The sequence below is a fragment of the Homo sapiens genome, chromosome 5, assembly GCF_000001405.40.
Source record: "Homo sapiens chromosome 5, GRCh38.p14 Primary Assembly".
NCBI lineage: Eukaryota > Metazoa > Chordata > Mammalia > Primates > Hominidae > Homo > Homo sapiens.
This window is the reverse complement of record NC_000005.10, coordinates 7,511,479-7,527,482: the sequence shown is the minus strand read 5'-3', so window position 1 is coordinate 7,527,482 and position 16,004 is coordinate 7,511,479. Positions and strand designations below refer to the sequence as shown.

Here is a 16,004-nt window from a genome sequence, read left to right as displayed (position 1 = left end):
CGTGCTATGAATACCAAGGAAATAAAAGTGTAAGAAAAGTGAGTTTCAAATACAAAGTGCAATCATGATGTATACATAGGAATATATGGAAATTCCTTGAGGTTGGCTCATTATTATGCCAACAGTGATACTAACCTACAAAAGTACAGCAAATGAAGAACAGGCACGATGTATATGTACGATGAAATAAGCACTAAACACGCACAAGCTTTGGGCTGGACCAAGGCTCCTGACCTTTGGACCCACTGAGCCTGGCTGGAAGGCATGATCCCAGCCTCTGATATCCTCTGAGGGCCACACCACTGCCACCACCCCTGGGGACCAGGCAGGAGGCAGCCACCACAACATGAGGTGGGTGGAGAGAAGGGTTTCACATCTTCTTTTCCTAGTCCCAATTTCCCTTTGCCTTGATATGATGGTAAGCAAAAAAGACTCCTTGCTTCTATCATGGAACTTACAGTCAAATGCATGTTATCCTATGATATAAGTAAAATTTTTATTTTCTACTTAATCATGAATTTACTAAGGGCTTTTGGTTTTTACGCTAGATGTATCATATAGAAATGATATATTCTTAACGTGGATAATATAAAACTGCTTCTCTTTAAGTTTTCTGATAATTAAATATTGTCTTCCCTTCATCATTAAGGGATTCCAGCATGTCTTCATAATCCCAGATTCCAGAAAAATGTTTCTTCGAAATTCAGTTAGTATAACAAAGAAAAAACAATTATTTAAAAAACTTGCAGAGAACAGTATGAAATAAATCAGAGAGTGGCTGAAAAATATCTCTTCCTCTTTCACTAATAATTGCTGTGTTCAAAATGTGTTAGTTCTCTTTCTTGTTCTACCTTTTCTCCCTTTTTTTCTTTATTGATATATAATAGTTGCACATATTTTGGGGGTATATATGATATTTCGATACTTGTTTACAAGGTGTAATGATTAAATCAGGGTACTTAAGGTAGCCCTCACCTCCAACCTTAATCCTTCCTTTGTGTTGGGAACATTACAATTCTTCTCTACTAACTATTTTGAAATATATAATGAATTGTTGTAAACTATAATTTCCCTACCATACTACCGAACACTGGAAATTATCCTTCTCTCTACCTGCATTTTTGTACTTGTGAACCAATTTTACCACCCGCTTCCCTTCCCAGCCTTCCCTTTTCTTCTTGTCCTTCTCCTTCCTTCCTGCATGATTCAGCCCTAAAGCCATCAGACAAGGCCCCGTAAGGAAGCATCTGCACCAGCAGTGGATGGGGGAGGCCAAATTCATCCAAAGATGACAAAGCTGTGTGTGAGGTGCATCCAGAATGGGAAAGCCAACCGCAGGAGGACAGAGCCTGAGCAGAGGAGGGGACACCTAGGCACGGGGCAGCCCCACATGCGTGGGTGTCAGAGCTGGGACAGGGAAGAGGACACCCAGGTGAGGGGCAGCCACACACGCAAGGGGTATCAGAGCTGGGACAGGGGAGGGGATCCACACATGTGTGGGGTGTCAGAGCCTGGGCAAGGGAGGGGAACATGCTTGCAGGGGACAAGCTGGGTACAGGGATCAGAGCAGGAGCCAAGGGAGGAGGCATCTGTGCATGAGGAGGGGATGGCAGTAGAAACAGGAGGCTGGTTACAGACACGAATTGGTCCAATAAAGGAAATCTATCATAAATCATGGAAGCTAGGTATTTTTTACGGTTGATCAAGGGAGCTGCAATTGAAAGGGCAAAAACTGGAGTGAAACCTATGGTTGCTTGGAAGTGGAAATGTCCTTGAGAAGTCATGACTATTAGTATATACAAACACACACACACACACACACACACATCTATAATGTAGATGTAAATGTGTGTGGGCCTCACCTTGGTGCAGTGACACCCAACACCTAATGCCTAGATCATGCCTCTAAATGCTGTTCACTAAAAAAAAAGAAAAAGAAAAAAAGTCAGGGCTCCCGATTCTTTCATCAGAATCAGGACCCTAAAATCAGAGAGGGTTGATTTTAGGCCTGGAGCAGACAGGAATAAGATCAGCCAGAAAGATCTTGTTCCACTAGAAAGCAGGAAAGGGCTCCAAAGATGGTGGGAATGTGTCAAGAGGACACAGAGGCCAGCTTGAAGAGGCGCCCACTGCACAAACCAGAGACAATGTGGACATCAAAATAAATAGCGATGGTGGCCAAGCGCAGTGGCTCATGCCTGTAATCCTAGCACTTTGGAAGGCCAAGGCTGGCGGATTGCCTGAGCTCAGGAGTTCGAGACCAGCCTGGGCAACATGGTGAAACCCTGTCTCCACTAAAATACAAAAAAGAAATTAGCCAGGCATGGCAGCGTGTGCCTGTAGTCCCAGCGACTTGGGAGGCTGAGACAGGAGAATTGCTTGAACTCGGGAGGTGGAGGTTGCAGCAGGCCGAGATTACACCACTGCACTCCAGCCTGGGTGACAGAGCGAGACTCCATCTCTAAAAAATAAATAAATAAATAAATAAAATAGTGATGCTAATGGTGTATAATTGATTTAATAAAATAGGAAAATACAAGACTGTATAGATATGAATAAATAAATAAATTGAAACAAGTTAGATGCCTAGTTTCAAAGTGCCTTTCCACAAAATATGTCTTAATTATAAAGAGGAAAAGAGTAATTTCTATGTGAAAGAGTTGGATGGACAGAGCCATCATACAAGTGAACACCATAGGTAAGGAGACAAAGAGAAGCAACACAGCCCTGATTGCGCTCCGGGAGGATGCACCCACCACCGCTCTGTGATTCTTGCCAAAGATGCAGAACCGGAATCTATTCATGAGGAAGCATCAGACAAACTCAAGTTGAAAGACATATTACAAAATAACGGTCCTGCAATCTTCAAAAGTGTTAGGATCATAGGGCCAAAGAACCACTAAAGAATTGTTCCATCCTGTAGAAGATCAAAGAGACTGGAGAACACATTGCCATGTGTCATGCCATGCTTCTGAGCTAGGTCCTTTTGTGATGAAAGACATTGTAGGGAAAGCTGGAGGAACTTGAACAGGGTCCGGGCATCAGATAGCAGTCATAGAGCAATGTGGACTTCCCAGTGTTTGCAGGTGTCTTGTAGTTAATGTAGGAGAATGGTACTGTAGTAATACACACTAAAGCTTTTGGGGTGGTGGGGCATCAGATTGGCAACTTACCTCTAAATGGCTTAGCAAAAAAAATAATTCTCTGTACTCTATTTGCAACTTATTGGTAAGTCTGTTATTGTTTCAAAACAAAAGTTACAAAATATATTAGTGATTACACTTCAGGTTGAAAATGTGTTAAGGAATACCATCCATAATTTTCAGTTATTAATTAAATTTCCTTAATTAGGTGATACATCATGGCCTGAGAATGCCTTCTACTTCAAGGCAAATGCTGGTAAAATGAATTTCCCGAGAACAATGAACTCTCTTATGCAGCAGGGAAGGAGAATATGGATTTATCTTAAGTGAATATTTTGATTAACAGATAAGTTCTACGTGCTATAAGTGGATTGCCAATGTTCAAAGAAATAAAATGAAACAAAAACTTCTTAACATGGATCTGTGCGAAACAAAATGCACTCTTCCTTCCTTTGGTGGCTTAGAAGGCAGGGTGATATTGACTATAGTTTGCGGGCAACCTCTTTCTTCATATCAGGCCAGTATCCTTATTTTACATAGTGTTACATTCAACAATTACACTGCAGCAATACAACCACCAAATTTGTAACATTCTAATTTATATACACCATGCATAAAAAGAATTCAATAAAGTGTTTTTCTGGAACCTCAAACCAGTGGTATTTTTAGGTTATATTTCCAACAGTGGCCAAGGGTACTGAAAGCTCCTTTCTTCATTACTGTGATGTTTACCTACAAACCTCCCATTTCAAATCTGTTCGCATGTTCCACCTTTCCCAGCTCTTGGAATTACTGTGAAATTGTTTCTGAGAAAATGGGAAATGGACTTCATGTTATTCTGTTCTTTTGGGTGTTGTTCCTTTATAAAATACTATGGAGTGAAGCATTTTTATTCTTGGTGCTATTTTAGAATTATCGCATCTCTGGCTGTTTGCTGATAAGATGTATTTTTCTTTGTCGGTTTTTGAAACTGAGTAAATAAAAATTTAAGATTCCATCTTTCCCACTTTTTTTTTTTTTTTTTACCAATGCAGGAAAATAAAAATGCTTAAACAAAAAACCCAGCTCAATAAAGAATACAGTATTCAGTGACCTGCAATACATAAAGTTCTTCATGCAGTACTTCCTTTTCCCTTTTTTGTTTTAACCCTGTTTGATTCTTACAGACAGGTATTAAAACCTCTTCTTCTGAAATATTTTTTGTCCTATTACATCTGCACCAGCAGATACTTCATTTATTCCTGAAGGAGCAGAAAGGATAAGTACAAGGGATGTGTTCCAGGGTACCCCAAATAGTGAAGGTGCTGTGAGCCATGGCATGTTTGAGTGTCTGATTGCTCATGTGAGAAGGGATTTCCCACAGTGGCTGAGCAAATTGTTTTCTCATTTCTTTGTTTTTTTTTGTTTTTTTTTTGAGACGGAGTTTTGCTCAGTCGCCCAGGCTGGAGTGCAGTGGCGCGATCTCGGCTCACTGCAAGCTCCGCCTCCTGGGTTCACGCCATTCTGCTGCCTCAGACTCCCGAGTAGCTGGGACTACAGGCGCCCACCACCACGCCCGGCTAATTTTTTTTTTTTTTTTTTTTTTTTTTTTTTTTTTTTTAAGTAGAGATGGGGTTTCACCGTGTTAGCCAGGATGGTCTTGATCTCCTGACCTTGTGATCCGCCTGCCTCGGCCTCCCAAAATGCTGGGATTACAGGCGTGAGCCACCGTGCCCAGCTGTTTTCTCATTTCTACTGCAAAAACATGCTCACCACCCTGACCCATATGTGAACACCTAATGTTGAGCTTAACAGCTCAAATAAACGAGAAGATGGAAGAGTGGAACTTATAGGAGAAAGGAGAAATGCCCCACAGGAGAGGCTCTGAAGTGCAGAAACAGGAAGTGAAGGCTGGGGTAGAGATTGTATCCACAGGAGTGTTTCTTGCACTTCATCCCAGGCAAGGCTAGATTGTTCTTTTGAGTAGAAGGGTGGTTTCCAGGGGCTAGGGGTTGGGGAAAATGGGGAAAAGTTGGTCAAAGGATACACACTTTCTGTGATAAGATGAATAAGTGCTGGGGATGTAATGTACAGCATGGGTGGTGATGGATGTGTTCATTAATCTAAATGTGACAACCATTACACAATGCATACATATAGCAAACCGTAATGTTGCACACCTTGAATACATACCACCTTAATTTGTCATTTAAATATTATAAAATAAACATAAAACACCCACCTTCATTCTCTCATTGGATTAGTTACTGGCTGGCCTCTGTCTGTCTCAGGTGGTGCAGGTTCCTAGCATGTGTCAAAGGCAATGCAGAGAGGAGCCATATGGCCTTCCTCCTCTTCCTGGGAGTGGATGCTTCTTAGTAATATCCAAACAAGCCAGGGTGAAACTCTAGCCCACTGTGTAAAATTAGAGGCCACTGCCTCTACAGTCAGTGTGGATACAGGATGCTTAATGAATGCAGGTTTTCCTGGCTACTCTTAATGAATGTGATGTGATAAGCAGTAGGAGATGAGCATTGAAAAAAGTGATCCGCAGAAAGCTTTCCAACTGAGAGAGACTACTATAGACTCAAGAGTGAGCCTTCACTTCCACCTCAAGTTTCCAAATGAAATAGCACATCACGTGAAAGAAAAACTGGTTTCTCAGACCCAGCAGGGCTTAGGTGACCTATGCCTAAAGTTCCTTTAGAATGGCACAGTGTTGTCACAACTGCAATTTTCTCAGCCCCACTGCATTTTATGTCATGGCTGCATTTGCTGCAGTTGATCTCCACAGAGCAAATTAAATGCACTTTTAATAGGTAAAACAGAGAATGTTAGGAATAACTCCAAATCATCCTCATGTTTATAGGTGTACATAATTAGAAATCAAACAGCGTTTAAAATGCTTGTAACTAATTAAATAGAATGGCTTCTTTGAAATGCTATTTATTAGTAAGGAAAAATTTGTTGTTGTACCATTTTAAAGAATTACTTTTTTTTTAATGCTCATAGACCTGATAGAAAATTTTAAAATAAAGAAAATTTTTATCTTTGTAAAGAGGGTTTTGAATATCAAGGTAGAGCAAAGGTGGGAACAAACTATGAAATTAATCGTATAAGTTACTTCACTATAAAAATGAGTATTGAATTATAACATATAAGAACACCTTTTGACCATCAAAATCATACCACCATTCAGCAATCACAAAATAGAATTGTCACATCCAACTTTCCTGCTACCATTACTTTTACAGTTGCTAATTGCTAAGTGACTGTTGATCCCACCAATGGCAGTGGAGTGGGGCTGGCTCCTCAGTGTTATAGGGGGTCAGTCTCAAGGGGCAGAAAGGGAACAGCTGCAGGTACCACACTACACACACCCTGAATGGGCCAGCAGCACCTGCCTCACCCCCTGGTGGGATGTGGAAAGTCATTCTCCATGGATGTGGAGGTGCACCCACCTGCCAGACCAGGTGCTCCTTGCCTCCCGGTGTTGCAGACAGGCAGACGCTAAGCACGATGGTGTGGGAGGAGGAGGTGAGGACGCTGGCAATGATGGCGTCTCGCATGTTGAAGGGCAGCATGGTGTACACCACGAAGATGATGAAGAGGAAGAACGATACCTACGGGCAGAGAAGAAGAACAATAAGAGTCACCAAATATTCTGGTTTCTAAGAGCCTCCTGTTTCCATGCCACTAAAGGCTGCATAGAACAGCATGAGACATGCTCATTTTAGAAATAATCTATAGACAAAATAGGGCAGTCGATGCAAATAAGTCCACTGGATTACAATAACAGACTAATCGTTGTGATGGAGAAAAGTTTGTTTTCAAAATTTTGGGACTTCACTTTGGTATCCAAACCACTCCATGAGTATGGATGCAAAGCTGGTCCTAAACTATCAGGGTTCTGTATCTTTGCTTTAGAACATGCACTGAGGATTCTTGAAGTGATCTACCAAACTGCAAAGGGAGACCCACAGAGGAGGGACAGGCATCATCGGGGACGGGGGTGGACAGGGTGGAGACCCATGGAGGAGGGGCAGGTGTCATCAAGGGGAGTTAGTGAAAGCAGATGCCGAGAGCACGGGTATGTAACAAACAAAATAAAACAGCCTGTGGATGGCTCAGCTGCCAGGGAACTCAGAGTGGCAATTCCTCGAAGTTAAACATACACAGCAGTTCTACTCCTGTGTATATTTCCAATAGAATTGAAAACACGTACTGAAACAGATAAATGTACACCCATTTCATAACATCATTTTCCTAGCAAACAACCCCAAGGTGGAAACACAAATGTTTATCACAGGATGAATAAACAATATGTGGTATATCCACACAATAGAATATTGTTCAGCCTTAACATGGAGTAAGATGCGAATGCATGCTACCATACAGGGGAACCTCAAAAACATGCTAAGTGAATAAAATCTGGGCAAAAGACCTCATAGTGTATGATTCCTTTTACATCAAATATCCAGAATAAGTAAACCCATAGGGATGGAAAGCAGATTGGGGGTTGCCAGGAGCTGGGGGAAGGGGACTGGCTGGGGAACGGAGAGTAGCTGCTGACTAGGTGCACGGTTTCCTTCGGGGATGATGAAAACTTCTCTGAAACCAGATGAGGTGTTGGTTGCACAACATTGGAAATGCCAACTTAAATTGGGTAATTTATGTTGTGTGAATTTCAGCTCAATCAAAACAATCAACACGAAACCTCTCAAAGAAATGTTTGGCATGAAAAAGAAAATGGTTTAGTAGGTAATAAAAAACGATCATTTTCATTACAAAAGGAGCAGAGATAGAAGAACATCAAAAAGGATGAAAGGTGAACAATCCAGTTGGAAGGGACTGAGGTCAGGGAAATAGGGAATGGGACATGTGGCCAGCTTCCCATGCGGCTCTTGACTCCAAGCAGAAGGGAAGCTAAGGAAAGCATGCCCCACTTTCAGTGTGACCTGTGTCACCTGAAGGGGACGCTCAAGCGCTGCACAGCTGGAAGGACGTGGTGCAATCACGCCAGCGCTTCTGGTACCAAGTATGGATGTGAGCTCCTGAGAAGAATGTGGGCAATAAGCTAGGCTCCTGACGGATTTAAAGAGGGAAGCCTGGGAGAAAACCAGGCTTCTTCTCTCCTGGGAATCTGCACCACGTATTACAACCTGAAAAGAACCATCTGTCACCACTTCACTATTCCAGGGTGGTGTCTGATCAGCTGTATTTATGTAATTGTCATACACAAAAGAGCACAGGAAAGATTCAGGAGACATAGCCTAAAAATAAACGTGGGTCCTGAAGAGGCACTCTTCGATTTGGCACTCCAGGCTTTTTGGAATAGGCTTGCTGAATGAATGCTTATTAAGGCACTCCGACCTGAAGAAGCATTCATTCTGCAAGCCTGTGTGAAGCTCCTGTAAATGCAGCCAGGTTCTGGAGGTGGAGGGTGCAGGACAGAGCCCCAGCTCTCAGGGGCCTCAGGGCCCAGCAGAAGAGATGGTCATACATGCAGCTGTCATCTCACAGTCTGCGTCCTGAGAGAAGGGCACCTGCCCTCACCGGGAGGAGACAACAGGGTGGACTCTGAGCACCTTCTCTAATTCTTCTGAGTCCAGCCGTCTCGGGACAACAGCCAGGAGAAACCCACTGTGAGTGGGAAAAATGACCCGGAATCCTCATCAGGAAGCCTAGATTGGGCATGGACCATCTGCTTCATGCCCCCGTCTCCTCCCATTCAATCTATATTTAAAAGGGCCCTCAGGCCAAAAACTGTGGGGGAACACATTGCCATAGCAATATTTTTTTCTGGTAAATATTTTTTCTTTCACCTCTTTAAAAATAAAGACTCTGAAGGTTTTTTCAGTAAAGCATTATTATTTAGCATCATATGCATTCCACTTGTTCCATTCCATATTTGGGATGTGAAACCAAGGCAAAAAGTATTGTCTTAGACCGTTTATGTATAAAAATGCAAAGTTTGGCTGGGAAGACATATCAGGCATGCCTTTGGAGGGACCTGTAGTAAGCGATGCTCTATCTACACAGGCAGGCTGGGGCACCTCCCTCACTTCATCTTCCCAAGGAAGGAACATGCATGAGTTCTAGCCCCAAAATCATCTTCCAAAGCCACTAAGAGCTACCACCAGCACACACTGGTGGTGTGCTGTGCAGATCCTTTCCCAGGTCTCCAACGAATCTGACTGAGAACCACTGAGCTATCAGAAAGGTTTCTTTAGGAATGGGAAAATCAATTGTTGTGTATTTATAGCTTATTGAGCAAATGAAATTTATTTTGGAATCTCTGTGTTGCCCTCCCAATTTACAGAAAGTATGTTCGATTAAGATACTGTTTTTTCTACACATAACATTTATGTAAAATCTTATATCCCACAACAGGTATTAAATGAATAATTTCAGGTACCAGAGTTGACAATTACAAAAGAGAACCTCTCTTTTATGATTACATATTTGCTTCTATGCAAAAACCTTTAGCATTTCTTTAAAATTATCATAACTTTTGAGTAGCTTAATTTTGGATAACTTTAAAATTCTAATACCGTCTCCATTAAAATATACTTCGGCAAATATTTTGAGCCTTGAAATGGAAGTCTGTGGAAGGCTTATCCACAATAACCAAATGGAAAATAGATCTTCAGTTTTCTGAATACAGAAGTCCCTGTTAAGTATTCATTATGAGATGGCAAAATTAATTTTCAAGGGTCAATTGCGCAAATTGCATTAAATCAAATCAGAGGTTTCCGTGGTAGCATTTCAGGAGTTTGGCTAGTGGTGCTTGGGGAGTGTTCGGCAGGCAGGACAGGGAGGAAGAAACTCAACTGCAGCTTCGAGTCCCATAGGGAGAATGTTCTTCACTCCTTATTAATCTCAAAGAGTTCTCATTTTTTTTAAGCCTGCTTTCCAATGCAACTTCAAATAGGGCCATATGTAAAACTAAAATGGATTTGGCACATGTAAAGAATGTGTGGGTAAAAAGCTCCAGATAGTCGAATGCTATCTCTTGGGTTTCCATGTTACCATGGGGACATTCCCCATGGATGACATTCCCCTTAGATGTACCTCTGTCCAGAGGCTAAAGAGTGCAGAGCCAGGGATCTCATTCCTGTGATCCTCTGCAGAAACCCCAAGTTTGCACAATAGCTGAGGCAACAGCACTCATTCCAATAAAAGTTTCAAGTGTGTCTCTTAACTCCAGCTCCGCACTTGCCTTTTGCAAGACATGCCTATCTTCCTACGTATCTTCTACTTGCATCTCAAGCTCCACAAGTTTCAAATCAACCAAGAGCTTCTTTATGTTCTTAAACCTGTTTGTCTTGCAGGATAACTCAAGTCTGCCCATAATGCCTCTGTCTCCAAAAACCCAGATGCAAATCCTTGAAAGTCACCTTTGAAAATTCTCTCCTCACAGCCACACTCAAAAACAGGGTCTTCTCATTTTAGGATTCCAGACCAGTGGGTTGTCTCTGTCTGTCTGCTTCTCTCCATCCTGACCTCACTGAGCTGGTTACTGGCGTTTCTGTTTGTTAGGAAATAGAGTTCTATACTCTTTCCCTCTTTGCCCTGCTGCAAACAAGGGAAACAGAGTGTGTACCCTTCCTCCTTCGTGTCCATTCCATGCCTTTCTCCAAGCCTCGGGTAACCATCAGGACTCTTTACAAATAACTATTGCTTTCTTCCTTCTGGGCATGTAATATAATTGCATTTCACTATTGTCATTTCAGTTAGGTGAGGGGCGAGTGGAAACTTTAAAATCTTATGCACTGTTAGCCATGTCCTCTTGCCTCCCTGGCAACCATGGAAACATGGAGTTGAGGCTTCTACCATTCTGGGTCCCCAGACCCAGACTGAGCAGCACAGTCTCTCAGCTGACCCACACAAACCTGTGTTCATGTGAGTGGTGACAGTCCTTTGTGATGTTAAGCCCGGAATTCCTAAGCACAGTTCAACTAGTCCTGACTGATATCAAGTTTACAGAAACACACACCCACACTCATGGGATGTCTTACTGATGTCATATTTATAAAAATTGGGTGCTTTTATATATAATACTCTGCAATTTGCATTTTTTCAATCAACTATACATCATGGGCCTCTTTCCAGGTCTATAATCACAAATATATTATTTACTTTTTACTAGCTGCAAAATATTCCATGGCAATGGGTGCACCATCTTTGACTCTAGTATTTCCCCACTGATGCTCTCCCTCCTGGCAGGATGGGAGCCCTTGTCTAATGCTGCTGCAGTAATGCTCCTTCAGTTCTTCCTTGCTCCAACACCATCCTTTCTCTAATCCAGATAGCATTCTACTGCCAGATGCATGATTCTGAATGCACAGGTCTCACGTGTTTCTCCCTTGGATGAAAACCTCCTGTAGCTTGCCTCAGACCACCTGCACAAAATGGAAAACCCTCCCCTGCCTCCACCCACACCCTCTAGTCCTCTTCATTGGCTTTACTTATTCACAGCATTTAAAGTCCCCATTTATTTGTTAATTTTCTCCCTTGACATGGGTAAGCATAGTGACAAAACCAGGAACTTGATTCACTCATAGCCGAGACCCCAGTGCCCAGGACAGTACCTCACATATGGTAGATGCCTCATGAATATTTGCTGTCTGCAGGAAAGACTATTATACATCCTAATATGAACCAAGCCATGACCACCTCATTAGCATCTACTCACCAAATGCATCTCTAAAAACATTCCAACATCCTCCTTGTTCCAACTGGACTCGCCATTAGCTATAGACATGCTAATCTTCAAATTACCATTTCTTTATTTAGTAGATCAATTACACTGAAACACTCAACTGGACAGACATTTGTCAGATGCCTATGGCAGGCAACAGCAGATACTGGGTTGAATCAGGAGCAGGCTCAGTTTGGGCAGCCCGTGTTCTCAGCCCAGAGAAGCTGGCCCCTTGCAAATCCCCCACTCAACTCTCTTGACTCAGCACATCTGCTCCTGCCTACCCCAAAACATAAGATCTTCCAAAGAAGGCCATTTTTGAAGAGTTTGATACAACAAAAACTCACTAGGCAAGGAGAACATGAACACTGTCACCACTTTTTCATGAAGAAAGCTCTTTTGTGGAGCCAAGCTCAAGCTCATCTTCTTTCTGGAGGGTGGGCATAACCCCCTGGGTGAGTGTGCAGTAAGAGCTCCTTGTGCTAATGAGATTCTGAGCTGAATTTTTTAAAAGGCAGTGGCATAATTGTGCAGCCGAACAAAGGTAGAGTGGAAGGGACCATTTAATCCATCTCTTCAAAGGCAGGCTGCAGAAAGCATAGGACTTGGAAGACGAGCTGCTCCAATGATTTCATGGCTTCTTCAGATCATGTGTCAAGTGCATTAGCTTCTTGAGGCTGATGTAACAAATTATCACAAAGTGGGTGGCTTTAAACAATAAAAAATTTTTCTCTCACAGTTGGGAGGCTAAAAATTTAAAATCAAGGTGTCAGCAGGGTTTGTTCCTCCTGGAGGCTTTGAGGAAGAATCTATTGCAGATTCTGGTGGCTCCCAGCAATCCTGAGCAACCTCTGATCACTCCACTGCCATCTTACATGGCCTTGCTCCCATGTGTCTGTGCCTCTGCACAGCGTTCTCTTCTCCGTGTATCTCTGTCCAAATTTCCCTCTTGCTATAAAGACCCCAGTCATTGGATTTGGGACTGATCCTAAATCCAGTATGACTTCATCTTAACCTGATGACATCTGCAAAGACCCTATTTTCAAATAAGGGTCACATTCACAAGTACTGCGGATTAGGACTTCAATATATGTTTCTTGGAGAACACAATTCAACCCATAACATCAGGTTTATGCTGTAAGCAAACCAGGGTTTAGATCTCAAGTATTTTCTGCCCACTTCACATCCCATGTTCCATTCCTGAGTCAGACATGAAAGGCAAGTGTCTATAATATCAAGGTTACTTACAATTTATAAATCCAAACTAATTTGATAGAAATATTCTATTTTTACTTTTTGGACATAAAATTACTATGAAAATGGAGAAGAGTTGAGGTACAGCTTAAGCAAATGTAGATCACGGTCATGGATAGGTCCTGACTTGATTCTACACACATCAGGTCTATCAGGGTTCCACTCTGTCTCAGGCCTCTGCTTCAAGGTCCATGGACTTTCACAGTGTGGCTCAGTATTTCTTTCAGAGTGCAATGACAGGCCAAAATATTCCCAAATATGCCAATCATAGATTAAAAGATGAAGCTTCTGGTTTTATCTTTCAAATGACACTCAACTCTAATGTATGAATGGAGAGTTTCCATTTGTTGCATTCTTCCCTGGAATGTATAAGCAAGCAGAATCAGCAAGCTAATCAAGATTAGCTACAGAAAGCACAGTGGTTCTGTGGAGAACACACCATCAGAGAAATACTTCCTATTTTTGTTAGGCTAGTAACATTAAAGGAAATAACATCTCAGTGAACATAATGTATTTTATAACCAAAGGCAGAGCAATTAAAATCATTTTTCTCTCCAAAAAATCTAAGAAATTAGAAATACCATTGTATTTACAGTAGTAACTTAATTTTCAAAGACACAGATTTTACCAAAAACCACAGGAATTATACCTTCCAACAATAGTACCGCAATATAGTTCTTATACATTGTATCTCATTGTTGTTGCAGAATACAACTAGAAATGCCAAAATTTAGTAAAAATAGTCCAAGGAAATTTAGAATTCTTAAACATATTAATCTAATTGAGCATTCTTAATGGTAAGTTCTAAGTTCAAAGTAATGTTTTCTCATTGGATGTCATCTATATCTCAAAGAATTGATGACTTTGAGAATACTGATGACTTTGATACCATTTATTAATTAGGTACATTGTTTAAACTTTCTGGAAACATAACTAGAAAGCTGTATAGTGGAAATGTACTTTAACATTTTCGATAACAAAATCTGCAAAACAATAAACATGTTTTCACCTAGATGATTATTTTCTTATCTTGTTCCTTGATAATACTTCACATAAGGATTACTCTGAGTCACAAGTTCTTTTCATACAAATATCACAACTGTGTAAAGCCATCTTCTGTTTAATTGGGGGAACCTCATCCATCCCAATGTCTAATGCTAAACTGTCAGTGTTACAGATTCTTTGAGTATCTCTTTATGATTACCCTATTTCTCAAGTTTAACTTCTTTTCTCTTCTCCTCTCTCCCCAGATCTTTCTCTCTCTCTCTCTTGCTCTCTCTCTCTCTCTCTCTCTCTGTGTGTGTGTGTGTGTGTGTGTGTGTGTCATGTATTTTCCACATATTCTCCCTCACTGAAATTCCATCACATCCCAGCTCTGGTTCAGTTGAGAAATCACCTCTTCCCATGTCAAAGACCCAGGCGGACCCACAAGTATACAACCAAGAGAGGGTCTACTGTGTCTCCAGTCTGACATCTCCTCATCTCCTCTACAGAGGTCTGGATCTCTGGACCAGGTTTCAGCAGCAGTTCAGGTCTCAATGCTTCCAGATGCTTCCACAGGTCTCTTAGATTCCATTCTCTTTTCAATGACTCTGGCTTCCCCAGGCTTCACAGAACTTCACATGGGGCTGCAGGCTGAGCTCCACTGGCTCAGCTCTAAGGTCGAACTCCTAATTCCCATGTTCATATACCATAGTGGATTACACAGACCTTATGACCAAATTGTTAATATTATTTACAGGAAGACATGACACAGAGACTCTAGATTATCAAAACAGGCCTGGAATATGTGGATGCAATTTTCACAAGGAATATTTTATGCCCCAACTCCAATGAATCTCTGTCCTTCTTGTACTCTCTCCCATCTCATTTAATAAAACCCCTAATCCCCAAACCTAGGAACTATTCTTAATAGTTTTCTCTTCCTCATTCTTTCCATCCCTACAAAAACATCCAGAGCCCATGTACTCCCTCCTGCCTGTGGCTACAACATCATCCAAATCACATGATCATCCCTGGATTCCTACAACAGCATCCAAACAGCCTTTCTTACACCAGTGTCCCCTAGAATGAATTTTCCACACAGAAGTCAAAACAATATGTTAAAAAGTTAAATCTGATAACAGTAATCCTCCTCTGTTTATAGCCCTCTGATGGTTTTCTTTTTTTTTTTTTTTTTTTTTTGATGGAGTCATGCTCTACTGCCCAGGCTGGAGTGTGATGGTGTGATCTTCGTTCACTGCAACCTTCATCTCCCAGGTTCAAATGATTCTCCTGCCTCAGCTTCCCAAATAGCTAGAATTACAGGTGTGCACCACCACGCCTGGCTAATGTTTGTATATTTAGTAGAGATGGGGTTTCACCATGTTGTCCAGGCTGGTCTTGAACTCCTGGCCTCAAGTAATCTGCCCACCTCAGCCTCCCAAAGTGCTGGGATTACAGGTGTGAGCCACAGCGTCTGGCCCCTCCAATGATTTTCTGTAACACTTAGAATAAATTCAAAGTCCTTATCATGCCAATAAGGGTCTCTCATGATCTAGTCCTGGTGCTATCTCCAGTCTCCCATCCTACCAACTCCCATCACTGCCATGTTCATACTCCCTCTACACCGGCCCTCCTGCTGGTCCCTGAGCAACTGCAAGACCTTTGCAGTGGTTGTTTTTCTGCCCCAAAGTCCTTCCCCAAATCTTTCCTTGGCTGGCTGTTTCTTGTCATTCAAGCTTACCACTCAATTGTCACCTCCCCAGAGAGAATCCCCCTGATCTCCCTATCTAAAAAACCCCTCGTTTTCTTTCTTGCTAATCACACTACATTTTTTTTTCTTTTTTGAGACAGAGTCTTACTCTGTCACCCAGGCTGGAGTGCAGTGGTGCGATCTCAGCTCACTGCAGCCTCTGCCTCCCAGGTTCAAACAATTCTCCTGC

General features: G+C 41.9%; 1 protein-coding gene across 5 annotated transcripts in view, besides 2 other annotated features; it reads right to left on the bottom strand.

Annotated features, from left to right (window-relative positions):
• ADCY2 (adenylate cyclase 2) overlaps positions 1 to 16,004 on the bottom strand; it is a 433,944-nt gene that overhangs the window by 302,599 nt on the left and 115,341 nt on the right. For all 5 annotated transcript variants that reach the window (NM_020546.3, XM_011513942.3, XM_047416645.1 and 2 more), the window contains exon 3: positions 6,584 to 6,745. In NM_020546.3, the coding sequence (NP_065433.2) occupies positions 6,584 to 6,745 (162 nt within the window). The remainder of the gene's footprint in view (positions 1 to 6,583; positions 6,746 to 16,004) is intronic.
• Positions 892 to 1,391: an enhancer, noted in NCBI's record as "H3K4me1 hESC enhancer chr5:7526205-7526704 (GRCh37/hg19 assembly coordinates)". NCBI's record gives its function as "activates a minimal SCP1, AML or CMV promoter by ChIP-STARR-seq in primed H9 embryonic stem cells {active_cell/tissue: H9 hESC(primed)}" and the evidence as "EXISTENCE:reporter gene assay evidence [ECO:0000049][PMID:30033119]".
• Positions 11,747 to 12,247: an enhancer, noted in NCBI's record as "H3K4me1 hESC enhancer chr5:7515349-7515849 (GRCh37/hg19 assembly coordinates)". NCBI's record gives its function as "activates a minimal SCP1, AML or CMV promoter by ChIP-STARR-seq in primed H9 embryonic stem cells {active_cell/tissue: H9 hESC(primed)}" and the evidence as "EXISTENCE:reporter gene assay evidence [ECO:0000049][PMID:30033119]".